Genomic DNA, 15,067 nt, shown 5'->3' on the forward strand with positions numbered 1-15,067 from the left:
GAAAATGTCTATTGAGTATACAGGTAGAGGAAAAAAATCAAGACAGACAGTGGTAAGCTGGGTTACAACCTATTTTCTACAGAGTTTTTTGCTTTTTTTCCCATCTAGGGCCCTGCTCTCATCACAACCCACTGCTGATGGATCAGAGGACTCATTTGTTAAATTATCTATGTCCTCATAACCCAATCTGGCAGGAAAAACAGAAAGATTTTCCTAAACCTAATATCACTAGAACAGATCTTCCCTAAAATGGTTTGCCTCCACTCTAGCATCATTGGTCCTGCCAGAGCTGCCTCCTTCATAGGGTACTTTGTGCTGCTGGGTTAACTCCTTCTACCAAATGGGGCCAGTCCAAGATGGGGTTTTAAATTCATTCCTCACCACCACTACACACTTATGATTAAATGCAATATAAAAAACAAAATCACCTTCTTACATGCAGTAATCTGTTTTCTATCTACAGTAGCAAAATACAGAGTAATGTACATACTGCATAGATTGTAGACTTGATAGTGGTTTGGATGCTTCTTGTCTAGAAACTGCACGACTTCCTAAAAAAGACAAACACATACCTTACATATCCACATGGCACCAACATAAGCTATTTCCTAGGGAGAACCTAAAATAGTCATTATTTTCTATCAATTTGTTTCTCACTGGCATCTTCTAGGGGCAATTCAGGGAATACAAGGGTATGCCAATTTCAAGTGCTAATCTACTGCGGTTTTTCAAATAGTCCACAAAGTGTATTTGGCTACTCAGATTAGTCCCTATTGTAAATACACACTGTTTAAAGCTATCAGATAAGTAAATTAGCTGGTTAACTAACTTTAAGTAAATTTGTTCCAAATCATTAATTCACAGTTAATGTGGTTTTTATTTAAATCTAATTCATATTAGTTCTTATTTAAATTTAATTCTGACTAGATATGTCTTTAGATAGTGATCTGCATATTACAGTCTACCTAAGCACCATGTAAACAAATAAATGCAAAAAGTATATAGTATGATTGTGTGTATGCATGATAGAAAAAGATAAACATATTATATGAAATTTTAAATAACTGGTAACAATATGGAGACTTTTGACAATAAGAGGCTCAACTGTTGTCAAACAGGTGTCAAACAATAAGAGGCTCAACTGTTCTCTTATTTTTTAAATGAAGATATATGTGTACCTATGAATGTGTATACACATATATATATATGCATATATATGTATAACCTTTAAAATAAAAAACAAATAGTAGTTATCATTTAAAATACAGTTAATACCACTATATGGATCCAACTTTCAGGAAATATATCTTTCTGAGACATACACACACACACACATATATATATCTCTGTGCAACAACAAAAATGACACAAAATTTTAAAACTGATTAGTATGGTACCTTCAGAGCAATGTTTACTGGCTTAATATTGAGAAAAATAAACTTAAGGTATCAAAGTCATCCATTTATTAAACTGGTTATCTCTGTTAGGAGGAAATAATAAGTCAAAAATGAACACTGAATCTGCATAGTGGGGGCGCAAGGATAAGAAGTTTTATATACTTCAGAATTCATGGAATTTCTTACATAAAATCCATATGGGTTTAGAAATCACATATAAAAACTGCAAATATCTATGAGAAATTTAAGCAAATTTTAGTCAATTATTTGGATAAGGAAGAACTAAAAGTGTGGAATCAATGGAAGATCAATGGGCTTAGGTCTGACTTCATAAAAATCTGAAATTTCTGTTTTAAAATGCTATAATGAATAACAGAGGAAAAGATTTTTGAGGAAACTTGAATGGGGACTATGCCTAGTATAATAAATTAGTAATTCACTAACAATAACTTAAATATTACTCCCTCACCTTATAGATAAATGGGCCAAGGACATAAACAATCCATAAAAGAGAAAATCTAACTGATTAACAACCTACATAGATAAATATTCAGTGTCGCCAATAAAGAAGTTAAAACAGCAAATGGCATGCCATTTGCACCCATGAAATTAGCCCTTTCTCTTTTAACGAGAAAATCCAATGCTGGCCAAATAAGGTGAGAAATTAAAAACTTTGATTTATTATTGATACAATAATACAATTGCTCTTGGATTTGGCAATATATATAAAGAACCTCAAAAATATTCATACTCTTTAGGTAATTTCACTCCTAGCAATCTATACAGAAAAAGCCTTTTGCTCAAAGATGTTTGTTGCTGTATTATTGATAATAGTGACACATAATGTCCAACATTAGAGGTTAATCACAGCACTAATGAAATATCATGCAACCATTAGAATACTGTCCTGGCCTTTATATATATATGTGTGTGTGTATATATATATGTGTGTGTATATATATATATATGTGTGTGTATCTATCTATCTATCTATCTATATATATATATATATATATATTTTTTTTTTTTTTTTTTTTTTTTGAGACGGAGTCTCCCTCTGTCGCCCAGGCTGGAGCGCAGTGGCAGGATCTCGGCTCACTGCAAGCTCCGCCTCCCAGGTTCACGCCATTCTCCCGCATCAGCCTACCGAGTAGCTGGGACTACAGGCGCCCACCACCATGCCCAGCTAATTTTTTTGTATTTTTAGTAGAGACAAGGTTTCACCGTGTTAGCCAGAATGGTCTCGATCTCCTGACCTCGTGATCTGCCCGCCTCGGCCTCCCAAAGTGCTGGGATTATAGGCGTGAGCCACTGCGCCCAGCCTACCCTTCATATTTTTATTTTATTTTTATTTTTTTGAGACAGAGTTTCACTCTTGTTGCCCAGGTTAGAGTGCAATGACGCGATCTCAGCTCACTGCAACCTCCGCCTCCCAGGTTCAAAAAATTCCTCTGCCTCAGCCTCCCAAGTAGCTGGAGTTACAGGCATGAGCCACCACGCCTGGCTAATTTTTTGTATTTTTAGTAGAGATGGGGTTTCACCATGTTGGCCAGGCTGGTTTCGAACTCCTGACCTCAGGTGATCCACCTGCCTTGACCTCCCAAAGTGCTGGGATTACAGGCGTGAGCCATCGCACCCGGCCCTGTCCTTCATTCTCTCAACAAGTAAATATCTCACGGTGGTAATTTACATGCAGCCTTCCTTAGTATACATATATAGAAAAACAGTCAATATTTGCTTTTTCATGGGAAAACAAGTATATCTGGAGCGTTAAGCTTTAGGGATTTTTCTGAATCCCCTTCCTAGTTCTCTCAGTGTCTAAAAATTATATATATATACACATATATATAATTTCTATAATCATATATATATAGAGAGAGACTCAATATTTAAATGATTTACTGCTGTGTTTTCTGATCTAAGTAGTTTACTGAAGACTCCAAATCTCTCTTATCCAAATTAGGTGAAAAGGGACATAAAGAATCTAGGAAAAAGTTCAACTCTGCCAAGAATCTACATTTTTCTGGTCACCATCTGTCACCAGATGGACAGTTTCTGTTTTCAACCAGAATAAGGAGCATTCCATCTACCAAGAACAGAAATTAAAAGATGGCTAAGAAGATTTTAGGACTGTAGGTAATTGTATATCTGATTTTTCTCAATAGCTCAGCCTTTGCATGGGCTTACAAAGTTTATAATTCCTGAAACTCTTCCTTGTGATGCAAAAGTAGAAAATGCTGTCTACTCTTTGAAAGACTTCTTGCAACGACCTCCACCTTCGGGTTTTCCTAAATCTGCCAAACTCTTCTCTCTGCCTATCTTAGTACATTCCTTGATTTGGAGGCAAAGGTAAACCTTCTCTACTTGCATGAGGTGGTAGCAGTGGCCAAACTTGTTGATGCTTCCATAATAGTGCTTGTTTCTCCACTAACTCTATGGGTCCCTGCATCTCTATAAAGTTTTTGCTACTTCAAGGCAGCATCTGACATTTCTCCTCCAGTAAATTTACCACTTATGAAATTGTAATGTCTGCTTTGCATATTCAATGTTGTTCAAAATGTAACCCTGCAACTTTATTCCCTTTTAAGAATAAAGGGGAATCATATGACTGTTTAGCATCCTCTCAGGAATTAAGTATACCTGGATTTGAATCTTCTGCCTTTTAGTCAACCTTGATTTAATATACTTTGTAGATGGTTCTCAAATATGACAAAGACATTCCCAGTGCAGGATATGCTGTTATCATTGAACATGCCATCACTGAAGTGCTCCATGGCCTGATTCCTGGCCTCCCCAGGTAGCTGAACTAGCAGCTTAGCTTTGGGGCTGCACTCTGGCAAAGATGAAAGATTAAATATTAATATGGACAGTAGATTTGCTTTTTGGGTGACTCATAATTTGTGGAATTTATTAAAACACATTATTTATTACCTCCTTTTTGGATACTCTGATTAAAAATGGTAAAGGAATCAATGACTTATTAGTACTTTGTCAATGCCCCAAGGAGATAACAGTTTAATAACTGATAGAAACCAACAGTCTAGTGATCATCCCAGAAGGAAATAGTAATGTCTTTGTGTTGATTTACATGCTAAGTGAAGTTTTTTGGTTTTTTAAAAACACCCCAGCTAATATTAAGTGTTGCCAAATTGGGAGGTGGGAGGATTGCTTGAACCCAGGAGTTCAAGACCAGCCTGGGCCAGTGAGACCAGTGAGACTCCTTCTCTAAAAAAATTAATTAAAAAAATTAGCCAAGTGTAGTGACGCCTGGTTGCAGACCCAGCTATGCGGGAGACTGAGATGGGAGAATTGCCTGAACCCAGGTGCCACTGCCCTCCAGCCTGTGGTGGCAGAGCAATGCCCTGTCTTAAGACAAACAAATAAACAAAAGTCAATATACAAAAATGAGTTATGTTCCTATAAAAACTAGCTCAATTTAGACATGCTATAATTAACTCACAGTTATTAGCTTAACCTGCTTTAAAAAACAATGTTAGCAATCAAGAGATGTTTTACCCATAAGGATGGAATCTGGAAATTTTGGGATGGCTGCCCTCAAGTGGCATGGCCCATCCAGTGGGCCCTGGTCACATTACTCCATGACTACTCCCATTAGGGGAGAGAAAAATTAATTCCACCTCAAATGAATAGTTTGAAACAATTTTCAAAATTGGCTAAGGGAGTGGTAGAATCATGTCTTAGCCATAAACACCATAACCTGGGTGAGATGTGGGTCAGACCCTTCTCTTCAAGGTCTTTGGGTATTTACAAATACATTTTTATACAATTGCTGAAGTCTTGAGTCTCTGACTACGTAACAGTTATTTCTTGTAAACTATCTGCATGTATAAAAATGCTCCCCTGCCTGAGAATAAGGTAGAATGATTCCATCAATGGTCTCAATTCTTCATCTTTTCCTGAATCCATGCCCTCACATTTCACCTTGTAGCGCCCTTTCACTCTAACTTTGTATTCCGTTATGTGAGTTGATTTGGTCACTGGAATGCCACAAAGGAGAGGCTTGCAAAAGCACTTGTAAGATTCCAGTCTAGCCCTTTCCTTTTGCCATTACCTTGAAACATATCCATCATATTCATCCTGAGGGAGGATGAAGATAAGTTGAGCAGATAGGAGTTACCCAAGACACCTAAACTAAGGTAATTGTAGACCAACTGATAAAGACATTTCAAAGAAACAAAATTTTATATCACTCATGAACATAGATGAAAAGTTCTAAACAAAATATTAGCAAATAGAATCTAGTGATAGATAAAAAAGATAATACATTAAGACCAAAGGGAGTTTATTCAAAAATAAAAAAATGTTGGTTTAACTTTGAAAATCTCATTAATGGAATAACAGAAAAACATTTTGATTACCTTGACAGATGCAGAAAAAATATCTGATATATTCAACACCAATTCCTGATTCAAAACTTTTAGCAAACTAGAAATAAAATGGACTGTCTTAATCTGCTAAAGAATGATTACAAAACCCTATAGCAAACATCGTTTCAAATAGTGAAGCATAAAACTCTTCTTGAGTTTGGGAACAAGGCAAGGCTGCCTCCTCTTACCATTTCTATTCAATATTACAGTGAAAGTCCTAGATAATAAATAAAGAAAAAACGCATAAAAAGTGGGAAGAAAGTAGTAACTTTATATGATTGTATACATCAGGAAATCTACACATTAATTATTAAAATGAATGTGTGAACTTATGAAGGATGCTAGATATAAAGACAATATACAAGGCTGGGTGTAGTGGCTCACACCTGTAATCCCAGCACTTTGGGAAGCTGAGGTGGGAGGATTGCTTGAACCCAGGAGTTCAAGACCAGCCTGGGCCAGTGAGACCAGTGAGACTCCTTCTCTACAAAAATTAATTTAAAAAATTAGCCAAGTGTAGTGATGCCTGCTTGTAGTCCCAGCTACATGGGAGACAGAGGTGGGAGAATTGCTTGAGCCCAGGTGCCACTGCACTCCAGCCTGTGGTGACAGAGCAATGCCCTGTCTTAAGACAAATAAACAAAAGTCAATATACAAAAATTAGTTATGTTCCTATATACCAATAGCAAATAATTAGAAAATGAAGATTTTCAAATATCATTTAAAATAGCATAAAAACTTATCAAATACTTAGAAATAAAACTAACAAAAGGTGTAAAACCTGTACACTGCAAACATTGCTAAAAGAAATCAAACACGACATAAGTAGAGAGATATATTATGTTCATGAGTTGGAAATCTCAATATTTTTATATGTCAATTGTCTCCAAATTAAGTTACATAGTCAATCCCTAGGTCAAAATACTGTCTGTGTGTGTGTGTGTGTGTGTGTGTGTGTGTGAGTTTGGGTGTGTATGTAAATTGCCAAGATGATTCTAAAATTTATACGGAAATTCAAAAAATCTAGGAGAGCCAAGATAGTTTTTAAACAAGGAAGTACAAAGTTGGAGGACTTATACCCAAGTTTTCAAGACTCACTATAAAGCCATAATAATTAAAACTGTGGTCTGGACTTAAGTATAGACACGTCATAATGAAAGGACAAAAAGCCCAGAAACAGACCTATACATATATGTTCACTTGATTTGCACTAAACATACCTCTGCCATTCACTGGGAGAAATTATGCTCTTTACAATAAATGGTAGAGGGGGGATTGATAGCTATATGAAAAACATGAACCTTGATGCTTTATATCTTTACAACAATTAATTGGAGATCAGTCATAGACCAATATAGAGGTCTTGGTTACATGCATATATACTTATGTATAATATCATCAAGATATACACTTGATTAGTGCAACTTAACCATATGTGTTATACCTCAATAAAAATGTGATGATATGCATGCATATACATATGTATACTTACATCTAGGCATACATACATACAGATAATTTCATATATCTTTTTACTTCAACTTTTAGATTCAGGGGTTCATGTGCAGGATGTGCAGGTTTGTTACATAGGGAAATGTGTGCCATGGTGGTTTGCTGCACAGATCATCCCATCCCTAGGTATTAACCCCAGCATCCATTAGCTATTCTTCCTGATGCTCTCCTTCCCCCACCCCTGCCCTCCCAACAGGCCCCAGTGTGTGTTGTTCCCCACCATGTGGCCATGTGTTCTCATCGTCAACTCCCACATACAAGTGAGAACATGCAGTGTTTGGTTTTCTGTTCCTGTGTTAGTTTGCTGAGGATGACAGCTTCCAGCTCCATCCATGTCCCTGCAAAGGATGTAATCTCGTTCCTTTTTATGGCTGCATAGTTTTCCATGGTGTTTATGTACCACATTTTATTTTTTTATTTTTTTAAGTGTTAAATAATCTTTATTTGATATTACACATAAACCACACTAAAATACCATTCAATAAGTAAAAGGAACCATTTTAAATACAGGGAATTCTAATTAGATTGGCATAGTTAAGGCCAAAAATATAAAGTAAACATTGCTACCTTATCTTCAACCCTGGCCTTTAAGAAGCAAATAAACACAAAATATATGTGAATCTTGCATGGTTTTGAGACAGTGAAGGAATTTCCCCAGTATTTAAATATATTCACATAACCAGTTATATAAATCTAAATATAAAACCACTCTCCAATAAGTTTTAAGATGGCACTCACCATCTTTGTGAAAAGTTGAACATTATTAACAAAGTCTAATCATATCTTTAGAAGGGGTAAACAGTGATAGCATTTACTGAATTAAAATTACTTATTAAAATTCAAAAACCAAACTACCAAACTTATTCATTTAATCACAAGCCAGTCTTAGTTTTAAATCAGGACTGTCCAACAAAATATGCTCTCAGTCATTCATGATCTGAAGTCTGGTGTATGAGATCTATTAAATTATGGTACACACAAAAAAGTCAGGAGACATTTCTGTTTTTTAATAAATAAGGCAGTGGAAAATTGTTACCCACTAATAGCTTTTTTGAGATAAGCTATCAAGTCTGCCTTTCTGCCTTCTTAATGCCGGCAAAGATCATTTTTGTTCCAGGGATGTACTTCTTGGGATTCTCCACATACTCCATCAGTGTATCCTCCCCCCAGGTGATGCCTTTGTTCTTATTGGCATCTGTGTAAGAGAATCCAATGGCCTGACCTGTCTCCTGCCTGAAGAGACCATGGAGATTAGGCCCAGTCTTGTGCTTGCCTCCCTTTCCACGGTGTGGCACTGGGCACACTTCTGAACAAAAATCTTCTTGCCTTTCTCAACATCACCCGTATTTAATTATCTCTTTCATCGCTGGCACTACAAAGGTTTCTGCTCGGAAGCCAGATGTCCCATTCTCTCTATGTACCACATTTTCATTATCCAATCTATCATTGATGGCATTTAGATTGATTCCATGTCTATGCATGCATGCATGTATCTTTATAAGACAATGATTTAGGCTGGGTGCAGTGGTCTTGAACTCCTGACCTCCTGATCCTCCTGCCTCAGTCTCACAAAGTGCTTCTTATAAAAGTACAAAATAGCTTTATGCATTATGAAAATAATCAAACTTACCCTTCTACAAATACTCGAAGAAGACCATTCATGAGAAAAAATAAGGCAATAGCTAGAAAAAATAGAATGATAATCCAAAGGAATATAAACTTTGCTATCAGTGAAAATTAGGTTAGCAAGGATGAGAGCCACATCCAATAAGATAAAAAAAACTCCAAATATTCTACAATAAATAAATAAATAAGTAAATAATAGCAAAGATAAAGGGGCTTTTTTTCCCTATAGTTATACTATATTTAGGCCAATGATTGCATACCAAAATGCAATTATCTAGTATTAAACTGCTCAGTGGCAGGAAAAACTGTAATGCCTTAGAATCTCAGAAAAATCACTGTTTTCACCCAATAGAAGCAGTTCTTTTTTTTTTTTTAAGTATGACTTTTCTTTTTTTTTATTATACTTTAAGTTTGAGGGTACATGTGCACAATGTGCAGGTTAGTTACATATGTATACATGTGCCATGCTGGTGCGCTGCACCCATTAACTCGTCATCTAGCATTAGGTGTATCTCCCAGTGCTATCCCTCCCCACTACCCCCACCCCACAACAGTCCCCAGAGTGTGATGTTCCCCTTCCTGTGTCCATGTGTTCTCATTGTTCAACTCCCACCTATGAGTGAGAATATGCGGTGTTTGGTTTTTTGTTCTTGCAAGAGTTTACTGAGAATGATGATTTCCAATTTCATCCATGTCCCTATGAAGGACATGAACTCATCATTTTTTATGGCTGCATAATATTCCATGGTGTATATGTGCCACATTTTCTTAATCCAGTCTATCATTGTTGGACATTTCGGTTGGTTCCAAGTCTTTGCTATTGTGAATAATGCCGCAGTAAACATACGTGTGCATGTGTCTTTATAGCAGCATGATTTATAGTCCTTTGGGTATATACCCAGTAATGGGATGGCTGGGTCAAATGGTATTTCTAGTTCTAGATCCCTGAGGAATCGCCACACTGACTTCCACAATGACTGAACTAGTTTACAGTCCCACCAACAGTGTAAAAGTGTTCCTATTTCTCCACATCCTCTCCAGCACCTGTTGTTTCCTGACTTTTTAATGATCGCCATTCTAACTGGTGTGAGATGGTATCTCATTGTGGTTTTGATTTGCATTTCTCTGATGGCCAGTGATGGTGAGCATTTTTTCATGTGTTTTTTGGCTGCATAAATGTCTTCTTTTGAGAAGTGTCTGTTCATGTCCTTCACCCACTTTTTGATGGGGTTGTTTGTTTCTTTCTTGTAAATTTGTTTGAATTCATTGTAGATTCTGGATATTAGCCCTTTGTCAGATGAGTAGGTTGCGAAAATTTTCTCCCATTTTGTAGGTTGCCTGTTCACTCTGATGGTAGTTTCTTTTGCTGTGCAGAAGCTCTTTAGTTTAATTAGATCCCATTTGTCAATTTTGGCTTTTGTTGCCATTGCTTTTGGTGTTTTAGACATGAAGTCCTTGCCCATGCCTATGTCCTGAATGGTAAAGCCTAGGTTTTCTTCTAGGGTGTTTATGGTTTTAGGTCTAATGTTTAAGTCTTTAATCCATCTTGAATTGATTTTTGTATAAGGTGTAAGGAAGGGATCCAGTTTCAGCTTTCTACATATGGCTAGCCAGTTTTCCCAGCACCATTTATTAAATAGGGAATCCTTTCCCCATTGCTTGTTTTTCTCAGGTTTGTCAAAGATCAGATAGTTGTAGATATGCGGCATTATTTCTGAGGGCTCTGTTCTGTTCCATTGATCTATATCTCTGTTTTGGTACCAGTACCATGCTGTTTTGGTTACTGTAGCCTTGTAGTATAGTTTGAAGTCAGGTAGTGTGATGCCTCCAGCTTTGTTCTTTTGGCTTAGGATTGACTTGGCGATGTGGGCTCTTTTTTGGTTCCATATGAACTTTAAAGTCGTTTTTTCCAATTCTGTGAAGAAAGTCATTGGTAGCTTGATGGGGATGGCATTGAATCTGTAAATTACCTTGGGCAGTATGACCATTTTCACGATATTGATTCTTCCTACCCATGAGCATGGAATGGTCTTCCATTTGTTTGTATCCTCTTTCATTTCCTTGAGCAGTGGTTTGTAGTTCTCCTTGAAGAGGTCCTTCACATCCCTTGTAAGTTGGATTCCTAGGTATTTTATTCTCTTTGAAGCAATTGTGAATGGGAGTTCACTCATGATTTGGCTCTCTGTTTGTCTGTTGTTGGTGTTTAAGAATGCTTGTGATTTTTGTACATTGATTTTGTATCCTGAGAGTTTGCTGAAGTTGCTTATCAGCTTAAGGAGATTTTGGGCTGAGACAATGGGGTTTTCTAGATATACAATCATGTCATCTGCAAACAGGGACAATTTGACTTCCTCTTTTCCTAATTGAATACCCTTTATTTCCTTCTCCTGCCTGACTGCCCTGGCCAGAACTTCCAACACTATGTTGAATAGGAGTGGTGAGAGAGGGCATCCCTGTCTTGTGCCAGTTTTCAAAGGGAATGCTTCCAGTTTTTGCCCATTCAGTATGATATTGGCTGTGGGTTTGTCATAGATAGCTCTTACTATTTTGAAATATGTCCCATCAATACCTAATTTATTGAGAGTTTTTAGCATGAAGGGTTGTTGAATTTTGTCAAAGGCCTTTTCTGCATCTATTGAGATAATCATGTGGTTTTTGTCTTTGGTTCTGTTTATATGCTGGTTTACATTTATTGATTTGTGTATATTGAACCAGCCTTGCATCCCAGAGATGAAGCCCACTTGATTATGGTGGATAAGCTTTTTGACGTGCTGCTGGATTCGGTTTGCCAGCATTTTATTGAGGATTTTTGCATCAATGTTTATCAAGGATATTGGTCTAAAATTCTCTTTTTTGGTTGTGTCTCTGCCTGGCTTTGGTATCAGGATGATGCTGGCCTCATAAAATGAGTTAGGGAGGATTCCCTCTTTTTCTATTGATTGGAATAGTTTCAGAAGGAATGGTACCAGTTCCTCCTTGTACCTCTGGTAGAATTCGGCTGTGAATCCATCTGGTCCTGGACTCTTTTTGGTTGGTAAGCTATTGATTATTGCCACAATTTCAGATCCGTTATTGGTCTATTCAGAGATTCAACTTCTTCCTGGTTTAGTCTTGGGAGAGTGTATGTGTCGAGGAATTTATCCATTTCTTCTAGATTTTCTAGTTTATTTGCGTAGAGGTGTTTTTAGTATTCTCTGATGGTAGTTTGTATTTCTGTGGGATCAGTGGTGATATCCCCTTTATCATTTTTTATTGCGTCTATTTGATTCTTCTCTCTTTTTTTCTTTATTTAGTCTTGCTAGCGGTTTATCAATTTTGTTGATCCTTTCAAAAAACTAGCTCCTGGATTCATTAATTTTTTTGAAGGGTTTTTTGTGTCTCTATTTCCTTCAGTTCTGCTCTGATTTTAGTTATTTCTTGCCTCCTGCTAGCTTTTGAATGTGCTTGCTCTTGCTTTTCTAGTTCTTTTAATTGTGATGTTAGGGTGTCAATTTTGGATCTTTCCTGCTTTCTCTTGTGGGCATTTAGCGCTATAAATTTCCCTCTACACACTGCTTTGAATGTGTCCCAGAGATTCTGGTATGTTGTGTCTTTGTTCTCGTTGGTATCAAAGAACCTCTTTATTTCTGCCTTCATTTCGTTATGTACCCAGTAGTCATCCAGGAGCAGGTTGTTCAGTTTCCATGTAGTTGAGCAGTTTTGAGTTAGATTCTTAATGCTGAGTTCTAGTTTGATTGCACTGTGGTCTGAGAGATAGTTTTTTATAATTTCTGTTCTTTTACATTTGCTGAGGAGAGCTTTACTTCCAAGTATGTGGTCAATTTTGTAATAGGTGTGGTGTGGTGCTGAAAAAATGTATATTCTGTTGATTTGGGGTGGAGAGTTCTGTAGATGTCTATTAGGTCTGCTTGGTGCAGAGCTGAGTTCAATTCCTGGGTATCCTTGTTGACTTTCTGTCTCATTGATCTGTCTAATGTTGACAGTGGGGTGTTAAAGTCTCCCATTATTAATGTGTGGGAGTCTAAGTCTCTTTGTAGGTCACTCAGGACTTGCTTATGAATCTGGGTGCTCCTGTATTGGGTGCATATACATTTAGGATAGTTAGCTCTTCTTGTTGAATTGATCCCTTTACCATTATGTAATGGCCTTCTTTGTCTCTTCTGATCTTTGTTGGTTTAAAGTCTGTTTTATCAGAGACTAGGATTGCAACCCCTGCTTTTTTTGTTTTCCATTTGCTTGGTAGACCTTCCTCCATCCATTTATTTTGAGCCTATGTGTGTGTCTGCACATGAGATGGGTTTCCTGAATACAGCACACTGATGGGTCTTGACTCTTTATCCAATTTGCCAGTCTGTGTCTTTTAATTGGAGCATTTAGTCCATTTACATTGAAAGTTAATCGTGTTATGTGTGAATTTGATCCTGTCATTATGATGTTAGCTGGTTATTTTGTTCGTTAGTTGATGCAGTTTCTTCCTAGTCTTGATGGTCTTTACATTTTGACATGATTTTGCAGCGGCTGGTACCAGTTGTTCCTTTCCATGTTTAGCGCTTCCTTCAGGAGCTCTTTTAGGGCAGGCCTGGTGGTGACAAAATCTCTCAGCATTTGCTTGTCTGTAAAGTATTTTATTTCTCCTTCACTTATGAAGCTTAGTTTGACTGGATATGAAATTCTGGGTTGAAAATTCTTTTCTTTAAGAATGTTCAATATTGGCCCCCACTCTCTTCTGGCCTGTAGAGTTTCTGCCGAGAGATCCACTGTTAGTCTGATGGGCTTCCCTTTGAGGGCAACCTGACCTTTCTCTCTGGCTGCCCTTAACATTTTTTCCTTTATTTCAACTTTGGTGAATCTGACAATTATGTGTCTTGGAGTTGCTCTTCTTGAGGAGTATCTTTGTGGCATTCTCTGTATTTCCTGAATCTGAATGTTGGCCTGCCTTGCTAGATTGGGGAAGTTCTCCTGGATAATATCCTACAGAGTGTTTTCCAACTTGGTTCCATTCTCCCCGTCACTTTCAGGTACACCAATCAGACGTAGATTTGGTCTTTTCACATAGTCCCATATTTCTTGGAGGCTTTGCTCATTTCTTTTTATTCCTTTTTCTCTAAACTTCCCTTCTCGCTTCATTTCATTCATTTTATCTTCCATTGCTGATACCCTTTCTTCCAGTTGATCGCATCGGCTCCTGAGGCTTCTGCATTCTTCACGTAGTTCTCGAGCCTTGTTTTTCAGCTCCATCAGCTACTTTAAGCACTTCTCTGTATTGGTTATTCTAGTTATACATTCTTCTAAATTTTTTTCAAAGTTTTCAACTTCTTTGCCTTTGGTTTGAATGTTCTCCCATAGCTCAGAGTAATTTGATCGTCAGAAGCCTTCTTCTCTCAGCTCGTCAAAGTCATTCTCCATCCAGCTTTGTTCCGTTGCTGGTGAGGAACTGCGTTCCTTTGGAGGAGGAGAGGTGCTCTGCTTTTTAGAGTTTCCAGTTTTTCTGTTCTGTTTTTTCCCCATCTTTGTGGTTTTATCTCCTTTTGGTCTTTGATGATGGTGATGTACAGATGGGTTTTTGGTGTGGATGTCCTTTCTGTTTGTTAGTTTTCCTTCTAACAGACAGGACCCTCAGCTGCAGGTCTGTTGGAGTACCCAGCCGTGTGAGATGTCAGTCTGCCCCTGCTGGGGGGTGCCTCCCAGTTAGGCTGCTTGGGGGTCAGGGGTCAGGGACCCACTTGAGGAGGCAGTCTGCCCATTCTCAGATCTCCAGCTGTGTGCTAGGAGAACCACTGCTCTCTTCAAAGCTGTCAGACAGGGACATTTAAGTCTGCAGAGGTTACTGCTGTCTTTTTGTCTGTGCCCTGCCCCCAGAGGTGGAGCCTACAGAGGCAGGCAGGCCTCCTTGAGCTGTGGTGGGCTCCACCCAGTTCGAGCTTCCCGGCTGCTTTGTTTACCTAAGCAAGCCTGGGCAATGGCGGGCGCCCCTCCCCCAGCGTCGCTGCCACCTTGCAGTCTGATCTCAGACCGCTGGGCTAGCAATCAGCGAGACTCCGTGGGCGTAGGACCCTCTGAGCCAGGTGCAGGATATAATCTCCTGGTGCGCCGTTTTTTAAGCCCGTCGGAAAAGCACAGTATTCGGGTGGGAGTGACCCGATT

The 15,067-nt window shown here is 38.1% G+C and overlaps 2 pseudogenes across 2 annotated transcripts in view, besides 1 other annotated feature; both read right to left on the reverse strand.

The window, feature by feature from the left end:
- TPTE2P5 (TPTE2 pseudogene 5) overlaps positions 1 to 15,067 on the reverse strand; it is a 124,766-nt pseudogene that overhangs the window by 58,280 nt on the left and 51,419 nt on the right. For both annotated transcript variants that reach the window (NR_038259.1, NR_038258.1), the window contains exon 2: positions 491 to 551. The product of NR_038259.1 is annotated as a TPTE2 pseudogene 5, transcript variant 2 (transcript). The remainder of the gene's footprint in view (positions 1 to 490; positions 552 to 15,067) is intronic.
- Positions 8,030 to 8,710, reverse strand: CYCSP34 (CYCS pseudogene 34; annotated as a pseudogene).
- Positions 14,530 to 15,030: an enhancer, noted in NCBI's record as "H3K4me1 hESC enhancer chr13:41443930-41444430 (GRCh37/hg19 assembly coordinates)". NCBI's record gives its function as "activates a minimal SCP1, AML or CMV promoter by ChIP-STARR-seq in primed H9 embryonic stem cells {active_cell/tissue: H9 hESC(primed)}" and the evidence as "EXISTENCE:reporter gene assay evidence [ECO:0000049][PMID:30033119]".

The sequence above is a fragment of the Homo sapiens genome, chromosome 13 (assembly GCF_000001405.40).
Source record: "Homo sapiens chromosome 13, GRCh38.p14 Primary Assembly".
In the NCBI taxonomy this organism is placed as follows: domain Eukaryota; kingdom Metazoa; phylum Chordata; class Mammalia; order Primates; family Hominidae; genus Homo; species Homo sapiens.